This window comes from Homo sapiens, chromosome 1 (assembly GCF_000001405.40).
Source record: "Homo sapiens chromosome 1, GRCh38.p14 Primary Assembly".
NCBI classification, from domain to species: domain Eukaryota; kingdom Metazoa; phylum Chordata; class Mammalia; order Primates; family Hominidae; genus Homo; species Homo sapiens.
In genome coordinates, this window is record NC_000001.11 from 161,503,812 (window position 1) to 161,524,349 (window position 20,538).

At 43.7% G+C, this 20,538-nt stretch overlaps 1 protein-coding gene, 1 non-coding gene and 1 pseudogene across 13 annotated transcripts; 2 read left to right on the plus strand and 1 right to left on the minus strand.

Moving 5' to 3' along the window:
* On the plus strand, positions 1,646-20,237 carry FCGR2A (Fc gamma receptor IIa). 12 transcript variants are annotated; one of them, XM_017000665.2, is made up of 9 exons: positions 1,646-1,741; positions 2,176-2,196; positions 2,523-2,780; positions 6,009-6,263; positions 7,023-7,145; positions 10,084-10,121; positions 14,164-14,326; positions 19,479-19,625; positions 19,823-20,237. In XM_017000665.2, the coding sequence occupies exons 1-8, from the start codon at positions 1,657-1,659 to the stop codon at positions 19,595-19,597; spliced, it is 1,062 nt and encodes a 353-aa protein (XP_016856154.1). In that variant the 5' UTR covers positions 1,646-1,656; the 3' UTR covers positions 19,598-19,625; positions 19,823-20,237. The 12 variants fall into 12 exon arrangements, with proteins under 12 accessions (XP_016856154.1, XP_016856153.1, XP_047305397.1 ...); XM_017000664.2 differs by having other exon boundaries at positions 19,479-20,237; XM_047449441.1 differs by lacking the exons at positions 19,479-19,625; positions 19,823-20,237 and adding an exon at positions 15,991-16,372.
* TRD-GTC10-1 (tRNA-Asp (GTC) 10-1) lies at positions 19,334-19,405 on the plus strand (annotated as a pseudogene).
* TRG-GCC2-1 (tRNA-Gly (anticodon GCC) 2-1) lies at positions 20,036-20,106 on the minus strand. The gene has a single exon. It is a non-coding gene; the product is annotated as a tRNA-Gly (tRNA).

Consider the following 20,538-nt stretch of genomic DNA (forward strand, 5'->3'; position numbering starts at 1 on the left):
GCATACGTTGCTATACTTCCCACCCTGGACTGCATCCTGTATGCCTTGACTCTCAGGAGGTCCAGACTATGGGCATGATAACTAGCAACCACTATGGCGAGCAAGATTCCCACTGCACCAACAGTGGCTCTCCACCTGCTCTGGGAAACATTCTTCCTTAGGCACTGGGAATGAGCACCCTTTTCAGGTAAAATACCACCCACTAAATACAGGGGTGTCACTATCTTCTCACAGGCCCATCCATAAAAGAGTAGCATAAAGATAGTAATTAAATTATTTAACATTTTCTGATATTTTTGTTATTATTCTAAGTACTTTATACAATTAATTTATCTGACATTATTTAACCTTCAAAACAACTCTATAAGGCAGTTACTATTTTATTTTATTAAATTTACAAAAATAATAATTTTTTTATTTAATAAAATCCCCCATTTTATTTACTTTTTAATTAATTTTATAGAGATGAGATTTCACTCTGTTGCCCAGGATGGTCTTGAACTGTCTCTATTATCTTCTAATCTTGACTTTTTTCCTTATACGCTACAATACTCCAATGAATATTCTTGTTGATTTTTTTTTTCACACCTAAGTGTTTCTATTGGATGTATTTTTTGAAATGGAATTTTTAGGTGATAAGGCTTACAAATTTCAAATGTTTAATAGATAGTGCCTAAATCCCCTTCAAAAATGTTTGCCAATTTATAACCCCATTATTTGTGTTCCATTTTTGAAAGATATAAATATGTGTGCAAATCAACTGCTCCGCATGGGTAGTTCCTTACAATTTCTGTAATGGAAAACATAGAGGGAAAACTACTTGCAGTTTCAGTGGGAGAAAAGGTTCCCGTTTCAAGAAAAGAAAATTTCAGTAGGAGAAAATATTGTGAAAAACAAGGTAATTTTCTACTTTAAGTTTCTGTCCTATGGGTATAAAAAATAGCTGGACATTATCTTCTTCCCAGGCTCTTCTCCCCTCTTCTCCGTCAGGCTGCATTGCTGGTCATTTTTGGCTCCTGTTGGAAGCAAACTGCTCTAATGCCTTTGGATAAGATTTTAACCAGGAATTATCTTTTTTTTTTTTTTTTTTTTTTTTTTTTTGAGACGGAGTCTCGCTCTTTCGCCCAAGCTGGAGTACAGTGGCGCTATCTGGGCTCACTGCAAGCTCTGCCTCCCGGGTTCACGCCATTCTCCTGCCTCAGCCTCCCGAGTAGCTGGGACTATCTGCCACCGCGCCCGGCTAAATTTTTTTTGTATTATTAGTAGAGACGGGGTTTCACCGTGTTAGCCAGGATGGTCTCGATCTCCTGACCTCGTGATCCACCCGCCTTGGCCTCCCAAAGTGCTGAGATTACAGGCGTGAGCCACCGCGCCCGGCCGACCAGGAATTATCTTAAACAGAAAAAGAATACTCTAAGGAGGGGTATACCGGCCAGCAGAACAGTAACCCCTCCCCGGGGTTTTCACAAGGACACAAGCTGGTGTGTAATAGACTTATCTATAAAGCAGACTCAACTCCTAACTGGAATTGTTCCTGATTGGTTAGCAGAAACAGAATTGAGGACTGACGACAGCTGCACAAGAAGATGAAACCATTTCCTTCCTCTTTTCTAAGCTTGTCTCTTAAAACCCACTGGACGTTGGCACAGTGCTGGGATGACTATGGAGACCCAAATGTCTCAGAATGTATGTCCCAGAAACCTGTGGCTGCTTCAACCATTGACAGTTTTGCTGCTGCTGGGTGAGTGAGGGTCATTCTGAAATGGGGCAATTTCAGACACTCCTACTGCCTGGACTCCAGGTACCAGTGTGGTAAGGAGCAGGCCTGGGCCCTGGAAGCAGGGGATAGATTGAAAGAGGAGAGAGGACCCTGAATTCTTAAGTGTTCCAATGGTTCCTAAGGTCAGAACTCAGAGGTAGTTTCATAGTCCCTGGAAAGTCCATTCTGCACCAAACATTCATGTGTACTTTGTAGTCATGAGGAGGAACAGGAAATGAGATAAAGGGGACATATGAAGTGAATACTTTTATAAAAGATCAACTGGAAACAGGATCTTGAGATGGGTCCTGGAGAAGGAAGAGCCCAAGCTCACCTCCCCAGCATTTCACATACGCAGCTAAATTTGAAGCCGTGTTCTCCTGCTCGACGTTGATCCACTCTCTTCTCTTTTACAGCTTCTGCAGACAGTCAAGCTGGTGAGTATGCCCTTTGCTTCCTTGTATTGACAGTGTTGTATCCTCATAATATGATGCTGTGTTTGCTGGGGCGGCGGGGGGGTATGTCTATTCCACTGAAAATCAAGCTTGGGTTCAGCATGGGCAGTTCCCCCATTTTAGTGGGGTCTGGGATTTGCTTCTTAGATCCACTGAAGACCCAAGGGAATGAGGCCGCTGCAAGTACAGATCTTGAACTACATCTACAATAGGACTCTTGGGTGCCTGACCTCCCTTGGGAGCTCCTTTGGCATCCACAGTCCCTTCAGGGTTATTTATTCCACACCCCTTTCCACTCTGCCCCTCAGCAGCTCCCCCAAAGGCTGTGCTGAAACTTGAGCCCCCGTGGATCAACGTGCTCCAGGAGGACTCTGTGACTCTGACATGCCAGGGGGCTCGCAGCCCTGAGAGCGACTCCATTCAGTGGTTCCACAATGGGAATCTCATTCCCACCCACACGCAGCCCAGCTACAGGTTCAAGGCCAACAACAATGACAGCGGGGAGTACACGTGCCAGACTGGCCAGACCAGCCTCAGCGACCCTGTGCATCTGACTGTGCTTTCCGGTCAGTGGAGGAAGGCCCCAGGGTGGACCTGGGAGGGCCAGGACGGATGAAATCTGTTTACAGACAGAGGTTTGCAGGAAAGAGTGGGCGTGGACTGCTTACTGGGAAGCACTGTTGTGAGTTGCTCATTCATTCCCCATTTCACCCACCCTCTTTGCTTAGCATGCGTGGTGGGGGAAGGGGGAATTTCTAATAATTTTCTCAGCATGTGTTAGGTTGTTTTTGCCTCAGTCTTGATTGAGCAAGGGGGTTACGAGGCCACAAACAGCTGAGTGTGGGAGAAGCAGAAGGAAATCCCTACTTTAAAAAACTACCCTCCTCCTGTGGCAATGCGGTAAAGCAGAGAGGTTGGGGGAAATAGACCTCTAAAGGCTCTAAGGCAGGAGGCTGCCAGACAGGTGTGTGGAGGTGGGAGTGTAGAATTCAGTCTGGAAGATGAGGTCAGAGGTGAGGGGAGGGTGAAGGGTAGATCAGGCAGAGGCTGATAGGCTGTTGCAACTATTTTGACTTTTATTCCTGAGTGAGTTGAGATGGCTTTAATTAAAGGAGTCACGTGATCTGATTTAGCTTTATGTAAACATCTGACAGTGTTCAGTTTAATAGAGTCTGTAGAGAAAATGCTTCTAGATAGTATTTCTTTTTTTTTTCCCCCAAGTAGCTGGGACTCCAGGCACACACCACCATGCCAAGTGACTTGTTTTTATTTATTTTTATAGAGACAGGGTCTCAGTATGTTGCCCAGGCTGGTCTTCAGCTCCTGGCCTCAAGTGATCTTCCCTCCTCAGGCTCTCAAAGTATTGGGATTATAGGCGTGAGCCACCACGCCTGGCTTAGATACTGTTTCTACCTGCTTCCAATGTCTGAAAATATAAGCACATTTCTATTGTTGTTTACTTGAGCTGCACTCTTGGTGCATAAACCCTGGAGATGGTCACAGGTAAACATTCAGTGTTTTAGATTCTCCTGTTCAACACTGAAAGGGTGATTTGTTTTTGTGGTCCTTTAAGGCTGCTGCTGTACCAGAGAGATCCTGGCTGTGGAGTCGCTTTCTGTTGATGGTGCTTTACTGAAGGGGAATAAATAAATATTGAGTTGACCTCAAAAGCTGCCTAATGACATCATAGCTCCTCTCTGTATTGGCTTCCCAGAGACAGCCGATAGTAATTCTGACTCTTCTTATGAAAATGTAAAAATATAGATAATAAAAATTGAGGGCTGGGTGTGGTGGCTCATGCCTGTAATCCCAGCACTTTGGGAGGCTGAGGCAGGAGGATCACCTGAGGTTGGGATTTCGAGACCAGCCTGACCAACATGGAGAAACCCTGTTTCTACTAAAAATACAAAATTAGCCGGGCATGGTGGCGCTTGCCTGTAATCCCAGCTACTCGGGAGACTGAGGCAGGAGAATTGCTTGAACCTGGGAGGTGGAGGTTGCGGTGAGCCAAGATCACACCACTGCACTCCAGCCTGGGCAACAAGAGTGAAACTCTGTCTCAAAAAAAAAAAAAAAAAAAAAAAAAATTGAGATCTGAAGCATTGTTAGAGAGAAACTACCTAGTCCCACCTATCCATTGTACAAAGAAATGCAACTGATTAGACCCAAGAGCTCAGCAGTTAATGGCACAGCCAAAATCGCAATCCTGACTTTAGTTTCTGTTTTATGCCATCTCAGTAATGGTACCTGGCCTTTCATATACAGAATACTTTTTTTTTTTGGCCAGGCACAGTGGCTCATGCCTGTAATCCCAGCACTTTGGGAGGACGAGGTGGATGGATCACTTGAGGTCGGGAGTTCGAGACCAGCCTGGCCAACATGGAAAAACCCCATCTCTACTAAAAATACAAAATTAGCCGGGCGTGATGGCGCATGCCTGTAATCCAGCTACTCAGGAGGCTGAGGGAGGAGGATTGCTTGAACTTGGGAGGTGGAGTTTGCAGTGAGCCGAGATCGCGCCATTCCACTCCAGCCTGGGCAATAAGAGCGAAACTCCATCTCAAAAAAAAAAAAAAGAAAAAGAAAACTGTTTTTTTAAATGAATTTTTATTTAAATAAGATCGAATAAATTATATTTATTCCTATGATACAGCAATTTGATTTTCATCTTTATTAAGTCTATTGAAACTTTGTTAATAGATTTGTCCTCCGAGGTAGCTGAATTTTGGAATCTGATTACTCTGCCATCAGTGAAGGGAAGGAATTGTTGGGAGTGAGGATGTTTGTAGGCAAAAAGGAAAAAGTGATTTTAAATTTAAAATTTTTCTTGAATGCCCCTTTTATTCAGAGTCACAAATGAATACTGAATTCACCTGTGTGAATTCAAGTCATGCCTTTTTATTTCTTATGTGGATGGAAGATTTTATGCAGGGTACAGTATGGTCTGAATGTTTCTGTGCCCCCAAAATTCATATGATATGAATTAATCAAATAGCAACCCCCAGGGTGATGGTATTAGGAGGTGAGGTCTTTGGGTAGGTGATTAGGTCATGAGGGCAGAGCCCTTATAAAAGAGGGCCGAGGGAGCTCAAAGGCCTCTTCCGCCATGTGAGGACACAGTAAGAAGCCTCAGTTCTGTGAACCAAGAAGTAGGCTCTTATCAAAGAAGCTGTAAGCACCTTGATCTTGGACTTTCCAGCCCCCAGAACAGGGAGAAATAAATTTCTGTTGTTTATAAACCACCCAGTTTATAGCATTTTGTTATAGCAGCCAGAACAGACTAAGACAGGGTGGATGAGGGATGATTAAGGCTCTATTTTTTTTTTTTTTTAACCAGCAACAGCATGTGGAAAAAAGGGGGGAAGAAGGCTCTACTTCTTTGCTAATACAGTTCAAGGCTGCCCACCCTCACTTCCCAAAGCTTGTACAAAATTTACCATTAAATTAGTAATCCCCAGACCACAAAAACTGACGGCTTCAGGCCCTGTCGAGTAGCCTCTACAGTTACTGAAATGCGCTCATTTCTCTACTCAAACGTAGTATTTTAAATTCCTCAGAATTGTTTTAAATATCTGCTCTGCATCTTTGAAACCTCTGAAAACTTCTGCTTTTAGAAGTCCCACAGATATAATACCATATATTGCCTATAAGAGAATGCTCACATCTGTCATGAAGCATCTTCATTTCTGTCTGCCAGACATCATGTCAAGTTCTGTGAGTAACGTACCTCTGAGACTGAAAAACCCTTGGAATCTATCCTTACAACTTTTTCTTATCATATTTGTGTCTTTCAGAATGGCTGGTGCTCCAGACCCCTCACCTGGAGTTCCAGGAGGGAGAAACCATCATGCTGAGGTGCCACAGCTGGAAGGACAAGCCTCTGGTCAAGGTCACATTCTTCCAGAATGGAAAATCCCAGAAATTCTCCCATTTGGATCCCACCTTCTCCATCCCACAAGCAAACCACAGTCACAGTGGTGATTACCACTGCACAGGAAACATAGGCTACACGCTGTTCTCATCCAAGCCTGTGACCATCACTGTCCAAGGTATGGGGAGTCTGCCAAGATGTAGGGAGGGGAGAAGAGGGGATGGACAAGGGCTGAGGTCACATGGGCCTACATGGAGGTCTGAGAAAGCCCATAGCAGCAAAATTGGGCACTGGAGCAAAGAGGAGTGGGGTGGAAGCCTGGCTAAGTATTGACCAACAAGTAGGGGCCAGAGCTTGGAGCCCTCACGTCCCAGGTAATAGGTAGTCAGGCTGTTGTTTCACTTTGAAATGTAGGCCCCAGACTAAAGATGGCAGTGAAGCAGAGCTCCCTCATTGATGCAGAGGTTCCCTAAGCTCCTGGGCATTCCTAAGAGCTGAGGTTTGCCTCGTTTCTTCTCATGGCTCATGTTATAGCCATTCACTCCAGAAAGCCTGGCACGTCATGGACTGTTCAAGGCTGTGCTCCATAGAGTAATGATGCCTCCAGCTATGCGAGGCTTTGGGCCCACCCTCCGTACTGTCCCCAGGGGCTAAGGGGAATCCTTCCCTCTGCTCCTGCATGCTCACCAGTGTGCTTTCATTCATTTGGTGGAGAAACCTGGGTAGGGAGGAGGCACAAGTCCAGCCACAGAAACCCTGTGCCAGTGAGGCTGGGGATGTGGTGAATCTTGCATTGGTGAGTGACTCAGACACAGAAGAGCTTCAGGTGACAAGCACTGGGACATAGCATTGGAGGTGGGAGGTGGGACAGGGAGAATACAAACGTTGTCATTAAAATAGTAACCCCCCATCCTGCCCTAATGTCTGTCTTCCCTAGTGCCCAGCATGGGCAGCTCTTCACCAATGGGGATCATTGTGGCTGTGGTCATTGCGACTGCTGTAGCAGCCATTGTTGCTGCTGTAGTGGCCTTGATCTACTGCAGGAAAAAGCGGATTTCAGGTTTGTAGCTCCTCCCAGTCCCTTTTGTTATCAGTTTCCATTTGGCCCAGGGCCTAACCCCAGACATTGCCAGAATCCCGCTCTTAGGGCTAGATATGCATTCCGATCTAGGCCCACCTTTTATTTATTAGTTCATTTATTAGTTCATCCTCAACAAGAGCACTAATAGGAGTCACCTCACAGGGTTGCCATGGGGATGAAAGAGGCTGATGCTCTTACACCAGTGCCTGGTAGGCAGTAACAGCACACAAACAGGGCTGTTGCCATTCTGGAGGAGGTGGTATGTGAGGGCAGCGCTTAGCTAGGGAAGGAGGACTCTCCAGGCACTGGGCCAAGGCAGGGACTGAGGCTGGGTGGGGCTTATATGAGGGGGGAGTAGATAGGGTACTGCAAGCCTCTGAGAAAGAGAAATAATCCCACTAACACCTCACAAAGCACTTTGCAATTGGTTCATAGCCAACACCTCAGTTACTGATGATAAGTAAATACAGAGAAACAGAGAGAGAGAGAGGCAGACTGTGAGACACAGGGGTGTTTTTAAAAGGCAGAGCAAGCCTCAGACAGATGCCATGGCGTGGCCTTTCTGACACTCCTGGGCGTCCCCATGGGTGAGCTGAATTCTGCCTCTGGACTAGCCCTTTTCCAGGTGGGAGCAGCCCCTGAGCAGGGGAACTGGGGGTGGGAGGACAGGAAACATCTGCCAGAGGGAAGGCCTGAGCTGGTCCCATCCAATCCTGGCCCTGGTCCTTGGTCCTGAGGACTCAGGCCCCACTGCCTAATCCTGCTAACCTCCTGTGTGTCCCTCCCAGCTCTCCCAGGAGACCCTGAGTGCAGGGAAATGGGAGAGACCCTCCCTGAGAAACCAGGTGAATACAGAGTTGTCTCAGGGATTCAGTGATGGCTCACCAGGGCTGCCGGCTGGACCTGAGCCAGCGAGAAGGGGCTTGTGCGAGTTCAGCTGGGAGCCAGGGAGGGAGCAGCGATGGGGGGATGGCCAGGGCTCAAATCGCTTGGTCAACTCTGAGTCTAATTTCTGGGCCTAAAGAGGACCTCGCTGGAGATGAGAAGAGAAACACCAGTCCCAGATACAGAGGAGAGGGCGGTGTTCAAATTTCTAGGACCAGGAATCTGGTGATATTTCCAGAGCAAGAAATCAGAGATACTTTGGTCTTTCTGTGGAGCTTTGGCAGAGCTGGCAGAGGATGGGGTTAGGGGCTGTAAGACTGAGGCCAATCGGACGTGGGAGGCAGGAGTCTAAGGGGAAAGGAGGAGGAGGCCTGGAAACCCCTCAATTTGCTGAGGAATCTGCCTCTGTGGAGGGATGGGGTGGAGTGGCCAGGCTCAGCTGTCTGTGGAACACTAAGAGGAGGTTTGGGCTTGAGAAAATTCTGGGGGGCTAGGGGCACTAGTGGGCTCTACTCTGTGGGCAAAGCTCGGTTCCAATGCCCATGCACTCAAGGTTGACTGAATTTTGGCCTGGTTCTGCCCCCATCACACAGTGGAGCCCTGAGCAAGTCAGTCTCCCTGATGGGGTTCAGTCTCCTCACTGAGGAAATGAGTGGGTGGCCAGGGTGACCTCTCAGGCCTTCTAGGTCTGACATTCAGGTGGGAGTATGTAAAGGAACTTCCAGGAGGATGCCAGGCAACTTCCAGACTGTAGTTAAAGTCAGAGCATAAAGGAAACCAGTGCTTTCTCTGGGGGCTTCCATGACAGTAGGAACAGGCAGGAAAAAGGCTGTCAAAGACCGCACCTCAGATGGCTGGAGTATGATTTAGAGCAGAGCCAACAGATTTAAGAGCTTGAGCAAAATATCACTTGTTCAGCTGTGCTTGCAGCAAGGTTGCACGTCCACTGGCCAGGCCCAGTGGTGATAGGGGCCTGTGTTCACACCAGGGCCAAAGCAGATCTGGAAAATACAAAGTCCAAGCAACTGGATTATCCGTCTTGTTGTGTGGTTCTGTCTACACTGGCATAAGCACACTTCACGAGGCACTTTTGCAGCCAGGCATGGGGGCTGCATAAATGGTTTTTTAAAAATCCTTTCGCAAAAGGCAAAGCTGGGTTGCTGGAATTGTTGGGGAATGTATTAGAATGGGAATTCAGAATGTGGTTTGCTGCAGAATTTACAGCATGGCAATAAAGGCTCTCTGTGTTCAGGGGGTGAGAGAAGAGACTAGATGCATTGTCTCAGATGTCTCCCGACTTCCTGAGAAATGCCACTTTGCAAATACTGGGGCTACTTTTCACACTGGCCAAGTCAGTTTATGACAAAAACATGAGGCAATTAGGTGTGTTTTGGACACTAACCAGAGAAAGTCCTTCCTTCCCTCCCTTCCTCCCTCCCTCCTTCCCTCCCTCTCTCCCTTCCTGCCTTCCTTCCTTCCCCCTTCCCTCCCTCCCTTTCTCCCTCCCTAAGCTCCCTCCCTGCCTCTCTTTTTCTCTCTCATGTTACTTTCTCTTTCTGTCTTCCTTTTTAATGCCATGGAGTACTATATTCTTCAAAGTTCCAACAAAGATGCACTACATTTGGACAATGTGGAAATGGCCCTCAGCCTTCTCTTCCTGATGTGGTCAGCAAAAATCTGGACTTTACTTCACTCTGATGCTGAACACCCTGCTCCACGTCTTCCCCAGTATCTCAGATCCCCAAGCTGTCTGGTTTGCTTCTAGGAAAGCTCAGCAATTCCCTGAAAAGAGTGTGGCCCAAGTGACTGCTTCCCTCCACCAGTGTGGCCCATGGGGAAGGCTTGTGGCTGGGTGACCCCAAGGGTGGGTACATGAGGCCATATTTACTTAGCCCTTGGCCTTACAGGACTGTGTCAAGGGGTCAGCAGTCCTTGCTTTGAGTCTGGTTATGGTTTTGCAGCCTCAGCATCAGCGTGGGCAGGCCCTTTTCAACAGCAGTGCCCTGGCTAATCTTTTTCTTTTTCCCCACAGCCAATTCCACTGATCCTGTGAAGGCTGCCCAATTTGAGGTGAGTAATCCCAGCCATCTCCTTTTCCTCCTGCCTTGTCCCTTCTCTCCTGTTTCCTCTCATTTTTGCCTTTGTTAATGCAAAATTAAAATGGAGACTGGGCCTGAAAACTCCTGAGCAAACAAAGCCACCCAGGCCTTAGAAATAGCCTTATCATTGCTTAAACTGCAAACATAAGTGAAACTCAAGTTGGATTGTAACTAAAAATAGGTAATACTTAACTTGGATCATTTCTGGTAAATGTTTATGTTAGACAGAAATAAGATTTAACCCTAGCCAATCGTAAGCAGCCAACTAACATAATTATGTGACTAAGAACACTTCAGTAAGGTACCTCACCCAAAAGACAATTATGTAACTGCAAACCTATCAAATTTCTTTATTTTTCTTCCACATTTTCCAAATTAATACTTGTCTCTGACTTTCTGTCATTAAAACATTAGACCTCTTTTGGTTTGGTGTCACCCAATTCATGAATTGCTTCTTATTCAAATGAACTCTTTAAAATTGTATTGTGCCTTAGATTTTTCTTTAACAGTTTGGTGTCAGAAGTAGGATATAAAGTAGAATCTCCCCCAAAGATCCCTAAGAGCAATGGGTGACCAGGCATAGGTACCCATTAAGCCCATTGTGTTCACTGGTTTCTTCCTGCATTTGTGAGTCACTAGGTAAGTCCCTCTCAGATATCAGGCTTGCAACTTGTGTCCTGAGCTCTCTGAGTTTATTTGAGTAATTTTATTTCTCATTTGATTCAGCAGTTAATCTTGGTATTTGACAAGTTCATCTGTTTCCAACAGGAACTATACTAGGTCCAGTATAGTGTACTAGTTTCCAGACAAGGTCTGATTTCTGGATTGGGATCCAGAGGTCAAATTGGGTACTTGACAGATTGAACTAGGTGTTCAACAGAAACCGAACTGGGGGTCCAGTTGGAGTCCTCAGGTAGGTAAATTTCAGAAGGGCAAGATATTATGGCTTTGTCAGAATGTACAGAGTCTGGGACTCCTCCATCTGAAACACAGTGATTTCTATGTTCAGATAATATGGGCCCAGAACCTGTGACTTTCTAGAGAAATAGGTGTGCCTTACCTATTGAGCCTTACCAGAGATGACTTAAAGTTGCAATGGTCACAGTGAGGATGTTTAAATCTAGAAAAAATTGTTCATTTAAGGGATGCATTGGGAAAAAATGAGATCCCAAATGTCTCAGAAACAATGATAAATAATTTTGATTGGTATGTAAAGGTTTCTAAAAGAATGATTTAAAAAAATAGTCTCTCTAAGTAAATCTTTACAATGTGCTAATAAGAAAGTATTCTAAACCTATTAACCTCTTTGATTGCTTGCTTTTTCCATCTGAACCTACTCAATGCTAACGTCCTTAAAAAATTAGATCCTCAAATGAGCCAGGAGTATCTACAACAACTAAATTTAACTCTTGTTATTGCACACATGAACTATTATAAAAGCAACCACTAAGGCTAAAAATAATAAAAACTAATTGGAAATAGGCCAGATAAACTAGGTGTCTCGTTAGTCACTCATTTAAAATTTAATCCAGTCTCAATAAGATTGACTCCTAATAATAGGTGAAAATGCCCCAAAACTCCTTCTTGGAGAAGCTTCGTACCCTTTCTCTGGGCCTTTGAGTTGTGTAAATGTTTTTAAAACACAAGCTTCAGCAAAATGACTCATCAAAAAGAAAAAAGGAGGAATTTTTTAGAAACAAACTGGCAAATGAAAAATCTTAATAGTCCTCTCCACAAATATCAATAAAAAGTGCCAGCCATCAGAACAGCTAACTTTAACTAGAGGCTAGATCCAACTAATTAGTTTTATATTATTATACCTGGCACATGGCTAAAATTTCAGAACAAAAGCCATGAATTTCTGTTTGCATCTTTCTGTATGTTTACATATATCTACACATGTGTATGCTATTTGTACATAATATTATTCTACCTCCAGATGGTATTTATTAGAAACAGTATTAAAGGAGCTCAACTGGCCTAGAGAAAAATAAGCACTTATATAAATTACATATTTTCTCAGAAGAAAAGAACTTTGCCAAAATGCTTTTCAACTTCATATGACCTGAGTAATCTTTAATAAATGAGAATATTGGTATTAATGAAAGTGAATATTCCACCTAGTTTTACCCAAATAAGCTCATGTTGTCTGCTATACAATTTGTCAAAAAAATACCTTGAGATGACAGGTAGTTGGTTTTGTTAATATTATGTTTGCCACTTTAACTATGTTAAATGAAATGACAGGTATTCATTAAATATCTACACCATTTCCAGATAAGACAAACTACTAAAACAAAAATAAAAAAGTGTTCCACTTATCTTTTTCTCTCTACCTGATTGTTTCAGAATTTGGAAACTCTTATTAAGTATTTTTATTTTCAATCTGGGTATTTGCATAGGTTCAATAAGAATCTATTCTCCTTGTAACAGGACATAATTGGGCAAGTCCTTGGCTTGGCTTCTTAGCCTAGAGAGGCTTTTAAAGGTCTAATCTGAGATTTCTCAATTACTAGATAGTTTTTAAAAACTAAAGTTGACTGATAAAAAGTCAGTAAAGTCTCTTGGATATCACCAAAGCTGTGGCTAAAATATATTTTAAAATTACTGTTTTTATTATACCTATATAAATAATCAGGTCAAATTTAATGAAACTAGATTTATTTTTGCAAAAAAGTTAACTTTGATTTTCGGTAAAAATGGAAAATAAAAATATTTTTCTCCAGAATAAAAAAGATTATATTTTAGTAGAAAACTATTGTGCATCCATTGTCAAATTCTAGGCCTGTTCATTTTCTTTGAAGTTTTATTATCTCCCTATAAACCAGATTGACTCCTGAATTTTTGTTTTTTAGTTCCACTAAAAACTAAAACTGCCCTTTTCCAAAGCTCTGCAAACTGAAACTGGTGACTTTAAGCTTCAGAAAAATCACTGCAACAGAGCACTTATGCCTTAATGCCAATCTTAATGCCTGCTGCTATCTGGGTCACTCAGAGAGTTTACCAGAATGTTTAATGAAATAACCAGAGACATTCAAATTGCAAACCAGTAAAGCACATCACATTGCAACTGCTATCTTCAGTCTACCATTTAAACTTGCCTCAAACTCACCTCTAGAAATTGTTTCACCTAGCTGCCCTCTAAACTCAAAAACTAAGATCATAATTTGCTCCAAATATTAACTTTGTTTTTTTAATAGAAGAATACTCTGAATTCCTTTCAAGCAATACAATCTAAAATGAGCAAGTTAGCCTCAATAGCACCCCAAAATAGAAGTTCTTGATATCTTAACAGCTTAACAAGGAGGAGCTTGTGTTCCTACTGATGTCAAAAGAAATGGTTGAAGATCTCAGCTGGCTTTATGGTGATTCTAGAACTGGGCAACACTTGCCTCCTTAAATTAGAATAAGGTTTCCAATGAGTTACAGCAGAGGAGATTGGCTTCATAGACAGAAAAAGGTCTGAAGAAAGCAGAAACAAAGAATTTAAAGTGGATTGGCTATTTTAAAACTGGTTAAAGTTGCAAAAGACAGGAATAGGAAAACAGAATAATAAATAACTGGTTGGTTAACATCAGGTTACTCTTTTGTAAGGATGCCAATTGAAACTGGCCTGTTTGGGAAATTAGATTTTTAGGTTATTAGGTTATTATCTCTCTCTCCTGATTTTTCCAAAGGCCAGATAAGAATGTAGTTTCTGTTTGATGACTTGAAACTTTATCATGGGTGATTCCACTTTGATTTTTAGTCTGTTCTGTTTGGGCCTAGTGCAGGAGCTTAGTGCAAAACAATAGCCTCCTAAAATTTAAAAGACTTTAAAGAACATACATGAGTTTTTCATCAGATAATATTTATTTGTATTCATTAATTTATTTGATTGGTTAAGTCTTGGCTCCCGAGAATCTTTGCTCAGAGGAATTTTTCAATCCTTGGCTATTATTCTCCTTATAGTTATTGTATTTACCTCCCCGGTGTATTGAATTATCCTATGGGTTTTAAATGCTTTCCTGCAGCCACCTGGACGTCAAATGATTGCCATCAGAAAGAGACAACTTGAAGAAACCAACAATGACTATGAAACAGCTGACGGCGGCTACATGACTCTGAACCCCAGGGCACCTACTGACGATGATAAAAACATCTACCTGACTCTTCCTCCCAACGACCATGTCAACAGTAATAACTAAAGAGTAACGTTATGCCATGTGGTCATACTCTCAGCTTGCTGAGTGGATGACAAAAAGAGGGGAATTGTTAAAGGAAAATTTAAATGGAGACTGGAAAAATCCTGAGCAAACAAAACCACCTGGCCCTTAGAAATAGCTTTAACTTTGCTTAAACTACAAACACAAGCAAAACTTCACGGGGTCATACTACATACAAGCATAAGCAAAACTTAACTTGGATCATTTCTGGTAAATGCTTATGTTAGAAATAAGACAACCCCAGCCAATCACAAGCAGCCTACTAACATATAATTAGGTGACTAGGGACTTTCTAAGAAGATACCTACCCCCAAAAAACAATTATGTAATTGAAAACCAACCGATTGCCTTTATTTTGCTTCCACATTTTCCCAATAAATACTTGCCTGTGACATTTTGCCACTGGAACACTAAACTTCATGAATTGCGCCTCAGATTTTTCCTTTAACATCTTTTTTTTTTTTGACAGAGTCTCAATCTGTTACCCAGGCTGGAGTGCAGTGGTGCTATCTTGGCTCACTGCAAACCCGCCTCCCAGGTTTAAGCGATTCTCATGCCTCAGCCTCCCAGTAGCTGGGATTAGAGGCATGTGCCATCATACCCAGCTAATTTTTGTATTTTTTATTTTTTTTTTTTAGTAGAGACAGGGTTTCGCAATGTTGGCCAGGCCGATCTCGAACTTCTGGCCTCTAGCGATCTGCCCGCCTCGGCCTCCCAAAGTGCTGGGATGACCAGCATCAGCCCCAATGTCCAGCCTCTTTAACATCTTCTTTCCTATGCCCTCTCTGTGGATCCCTACTGCTGGTTTCTGCCTTCTCCATGCTGAGAACAAAATCACCTATTCACTGCTTATGCAGTCGGAAGCTCCAGAAGAACAAAGAGCCCAATTACCAGAACCACATTAAGTCTCCATTGTTTTGCCTTGGGATTTGAGAAGAGAATTAGAGAGGTGAGGATCTGGTATTTCCTGGACTAAATTCCCCTTGGGGAAGACGAAGGGATGCTGCAGTTCCAAAAGAGAAGGACTCTTCCAGAGTCATCTACCTGAGTCCCAAAGCTCCCTGTCCTGAAAGCCACAGACAATATGGTCCCAAATGACTGACTGCACCTTCTGTGCCTCAGCCGTTCTTGACATCAAGAATCTTCTGTTCCACATCCACACAGCCAATACAATTAGTCAAACCACTGTTATTAACAGATGTAGCAACATGAGAAACGCTTATGTTACAGGTTACATGAGAGCAATCATGTAAGTCTATATGACTTCAGAAATGTTAAAATAGACTAACCTCTAACAACAAATTAAAAGTGATTGTTTCAAGGTGATGCAATTATTGATGACCTATTTTATTTTTCTATAATGATCATATATTACCTTTGTAATAAAACATTATAACCAAAACATTCTGTTTACCTTTTCAGGGCTGTATTGATTGGGGTGTAGACTGAACTATCCGGGGTCTGTTTCTTTTCGGTGATGAAAGTCTTGAGAAGGTAGTAATGGATAAGATGTGAGGGAGAGGAGAGAGGGAGATTTGGAGTGTAGGGTGAGTGCCCCTCTTCTTAGAACTGAATACTCTTCTTCTAATGAACTTGTATTCTTGTTTCCATGTCTTCTTCCCTTTCCTTCTATAGCAAATAAAGCATTCACTTTGTTTTGGAACACAAGTTGTCAGAAAGGCAAACTTCAGGTGAATTGTCAGTGGAGACTGCTGACTTCCTGCACTGCTATTTTCCCAGTGCAGTTACCAGAAGGATGTGACCTTCTCAGAGAAGTCATTCCAGGCAGATTAGAAACATGACCCACAGTCTCCTTGATGGTTTGGTGAGTGCCCTTAAAGAGCCTTCCATTTTCCTGGGACACAGCATCACTGTGCACAATTCTTGCATTTGAAAAGTAGCAGCTTTCTCTGTTGGATAGTTTACATCGATTTTTAAGGAGGCTATGGAGCTTCCACCCACCCTTCCAAACTCTATGTATTAGTCTGTCTCTATGTATTAGTCTGTTCTCACGCTGCTATGAAGAAATACCTGAGACTGGGTTATTTATGAAGAAAAGAGGGTTAATTGGCTCACAGTTCCTTATCGCTGGGGAGGCCTCAGGAAACTTACAATCACAGCAGAAGGCAAAGGAGAAGCAGGCACCTTCTGCACATGATGGCAGGACAGAGTGAGTGCAAGCAGGGAAGGTGCCAGACACTTATAAAACCCTAAGCTCTCGTGAGACTCACTCACTATTATGAGAACAGCATGGGGAAACCGTCGCCATGACCCAGTTACCTCCACCTGGTCCCACTTTTGACAGATGGGGATTATGAGGATGACAACTCAAGACGAGACTTTGGGTGGAGACAGAGCCAAACCATATCACCCTAGACAGAGGCTCCTCAAATATGTAAAGCCTTGTTAAATCCTGCTTTTACATTAAAATGCACCCAACAATCTGACTGCTTCTCAGTATTCTACTCCTACCACCCTGGTCCAAGCCACCATCATTTCTCACTTGGATTACTCCAATAGCCTCCTGACTGGCCTCCCTGCACTCACCCTTGCCATCCTATAGTCTATTCTCACCATAACAGCTATTGTGATCTTTTAAAAATGTGTGTCATATTTGTCACTTCTTTTCCCCAAATCATATACTATCTTCCCCTTGTGGTTGGAGTAAAGGCTAGAGCTTTTCCAATATTCTACAGGATGCTACAGGATCTTGCTCTTCACTCTCTCTGACCTCATCTCCTACTGCTTTTCCTTGCTTGCTGTTGGTCACTCTTGCTCTTCCTTGAACGTGCCAATTATACTTCTGCCCAGAGCCTATGTTATTTCCTGTTTCTGGAATGTTCTTTCTCATAGACCCACATTATGCCTCATTATGTCCTTTAGGTCTTTACTCACATGTCACCTTATCAGTGAGGTCTCCTTGATCATTCGGTATAACCTGTCGCCCTCCCATACTCTTAATGTCCCTTTCCTTCTTCATTTTTCTCCATTGTGCTTATTACTACTGATGTACTATTAATATATGTTTACTGTTTGTTTTGTGTCTGACTTCCCCACTCCTCTCATTAGAATGTGAGCTCCAGGAGAGGTCTTTGTCTGTTTTGTTCACTACCACATACTCAGAGCCCAGGTCAGTGTCTAGTGCATAGTAAAGCGCTTAATAAATATGTGCGGAATGAGTAAATTCTTTGACGTTTGAAATCAGAGACTTTAAACTGGAAAGTCCTTAGAAACAATGTAGTCCAATCTCTTCATTTTAAAACGGAGGAAGCTGTGGCCCAGACAGGTGAAATGACTTGTTCAAGGACAAACAGGTAGTGGATGTCACTGACTTTTATATATATATAGTTTGGATTATACTACAAATTTTGTTCTATAGTGAAATGGTTTGGCTGTGTCCCCACCCGAATATCATCTTGAATTCCCACAACACATGGGAGGGACCCAGTGGAAGGTAACTGAATCATGGGGCAGGTCTTTCCCATGCTGTTCTTGTGATAGTGAATAAGTCTCATGAGATCTGATGGTTTTAAAAAGGGGAGTTTCCCTGCACAAGCTCTCTCTTCTCTTGTTTGCCACCATGTGAGACATGACTTTCACCTTTTGCCATGATTGTGAGGCCTCCCAGCCACGTGGAACTGTAAGTCCATTAAACCTCTTTCTTTTGTAAATTGCCCCGTCTCAGGTATGTCTTTATTAGCAGTGTGAGAATGGGCTAACACATACAACTTGCTTTTTTTTTGTACTCAATATTGAGTCGTGAGCTTTGCACCACATTAGAATGTCTATTTAAGTCATTACTTTAAGGTCGGTTCTATTTTTAAAGCTACTCAAACTAAGCTACTAAACATAAGTGGATATATTTAAGTGTATGTATAAAATTTATACTAGGCCAGCTGCAGTGGCTCATGCCTGTAATCCCAAAGCTGTGGAAGGTAGAGGTGGGACTGATTGAGGCCACGAGTTCAAGGCTGCAGTGAGCTGTGATTGCATCACTGTACTCCAGCCTGAGGGACAGAGCAGGAACCAGAAAAAAATAAAATAAAAAGAAACAAACAAAAAAACCCCCAACAACCCTACAGTGGCTCTTTTAGAAAAAACAAACAAACAAAACCAAAACTGTACTGCATGCATAAGCTCCCCTATGCTATGTTTGAACCACTCTGAAGAGATCAATTAAAAAGAAGTGAGTGATATTGGAAGCATGCCTCTGTGATGCTGTGGTAACATTCATAGGCTGCGTTAGGGCTATGCCTGTAACTCTTGGAGATGAGTGGGTAAGTGGGGTTTTGAGGTGGCTGGGGGCTGGAAGAGAAGGTTGGAGGAGCCCACACAAGACAGCCCCTTAACACGCCGGGGCACAGAACCCCAGGCTGGGCCAACTTTTCCCTGCTGAGGTGAAGACCCGTCTCTTGCAGGCCGTTGGCAAATGTCTTGACTCTGGCATCCAGGTGTGACCAGCTTAGACCCTGAGAGTGAGTGAATTTAAAGTTGACAGCTTCTTTCCCTTTTGGAATTATGAAATAGGTTACTTCTTTTCAAGGACAGTTTGATTTTCCACTGTGTAAGTCATATATTGCACATTTCTTTAAACATTCCCTTTTTTCCTGAACTGATCACCTTACCAGTACGGCTGATCCTCTCAAGCAGCAAACTCTACCAGCTGTCACTGGTGCTCTCGGAGAGACGATTAACCAAGGAACCCAGCCCGGGAACAGTACTGACCTCTACTTCTGGACTCCTGCCTCCCTCTTAAAAAGTCCCTTGAACTTCCTAGTGGGTTCTAACCTGTCAAAGGAGAAAATAGCCATCTATGGAGTAAGGGTTTTTAGTTTCTCTTTTTACAAATGGAAGTTTCCTCTGAATCAGGCAAGTAACGTTAAATAGAAGCCAACTTTTAAGTTTCTCTAACACACTGCTAAATTGTAACACCAGACTGTACCACATACTCTCCAGCTGCCAGCTATTGCAGTTGCCATCCTTGTTACTATAGTGGTGAGTATCTCTGCCTGTCATGCGTGAGAGAGGGGGTCGATTCCCCGACGGGGAGGTCACGGGAAATTGTGTGAGGATTTTGTCAACCTTCAGAAGTCTCAGAAATGTCTCCTTGTTTTGGCTTTCAGCGGAAATCCGAACGCCAGCAGATCTGAATGGAATGTTCTGGATTGAAGAAAGTGGGAAATGGCCTCAATTCACAAAGTCACAACCTGATAAAAACCAGTGTGACTTTACTGCCCAGTGAACCCATCTCGTCCTCCAGCCTTTAGGAGGTAGGTTGGACTGGAGCCTGCAGTAGTTTACTCTCCACCTGAGTCCTGGTCTCCAGCTGGGAACCCACTTAGGCCATAAAGAAAAACGCACACTGTGCCTCTCCACCGGGCCTCTGGAGACGAGGCTCCTCGGGGATACAAACAGTGGGGAGAACATGAGGGACATCCCGACCGTACTCTGCGTCCTCCTTTCCCAGGTGTTGCGTTCTCTCTTGGGCTGAGTGGCGAGGTCTCTCCCGAGTCCCAGGGCCACAGTGCAATGTCACATCTCCTTTGTGGAAAGTGACTGGTAAAGGAGAGAGAACAAAACTGGAGGAATGTAAAGTCTTCAGCCACCTGGTTTAATTTATTCAAGAGTGATTAATCCTAGATGAGAAAAAGAATTGAAATGGATCGGAAAAAAATGAAAGTGCATTGGCCGGGAATCGAACCCGGGCCTCCCGCGTGGCAGGCGAGAATTCTACCACTGAACCACCAATGCTACTGTCAGCTAAAGACCTGCAGTATTGTCTCTTAAAGCTCACTATCTCTGGCCATTCACTAAGGAACCAGGCACCGTCTTAAATCGCGGTTTGGAAAATATTTTGTTCAAGATAAAACTGTTTTAAGATATACGTGTATATATCTTATATATCTGTATTCGCATGGTAACATATCTTCGGCCTTCCTGAGCCGCTGGGCTCTCAGCGGCCCTCCAAGGCAGCCCGCAGGCCCCTGTGTGCCTCAGGGATCCGACCTCCCACAGCCCCGGGGAGACCTTGCCTCTAAAGTTGCTGCTTTTGCAGCCTCTGCCACAACCGCGCGTCCTCAGAGCCAGCCCGGAGGAGCTAGAACCTTCCCCGCATTTCTTTCAGCAGCCTGAGTCAGAGGCGGGCTGGCCTGGCGTAGCCGCCCAGCCTCGCGGCTCATGCCC

What these genes read in the sequence shown, in the direction of transcription:
- FCGR2A (XM_047449441.1), top strand. Translation starts at nt 1,657, where the DNA reads ATGACTATGGAGACCCAAATGTCTCAGAATGTATGTCCCAGAAACCTG. An exon ending in TGTGACCATCACTGTCCAAG is followed by an intron (nt 6,264 to 7,022) that starts GTATGGGGAGTC and finishes TGTCTTCCCTAG; the next exon opens with TGCCCAGCATGGGCAGCTCT. An exon ending in TCCCAACGACCATGTCAACA is followed by an intron (nt 14,327 to 15,990) that starts GTAATAACTAAA and finishes TTCCTTCTATAG; the next exon opens with CAAATAAAGCATTCACTTTG.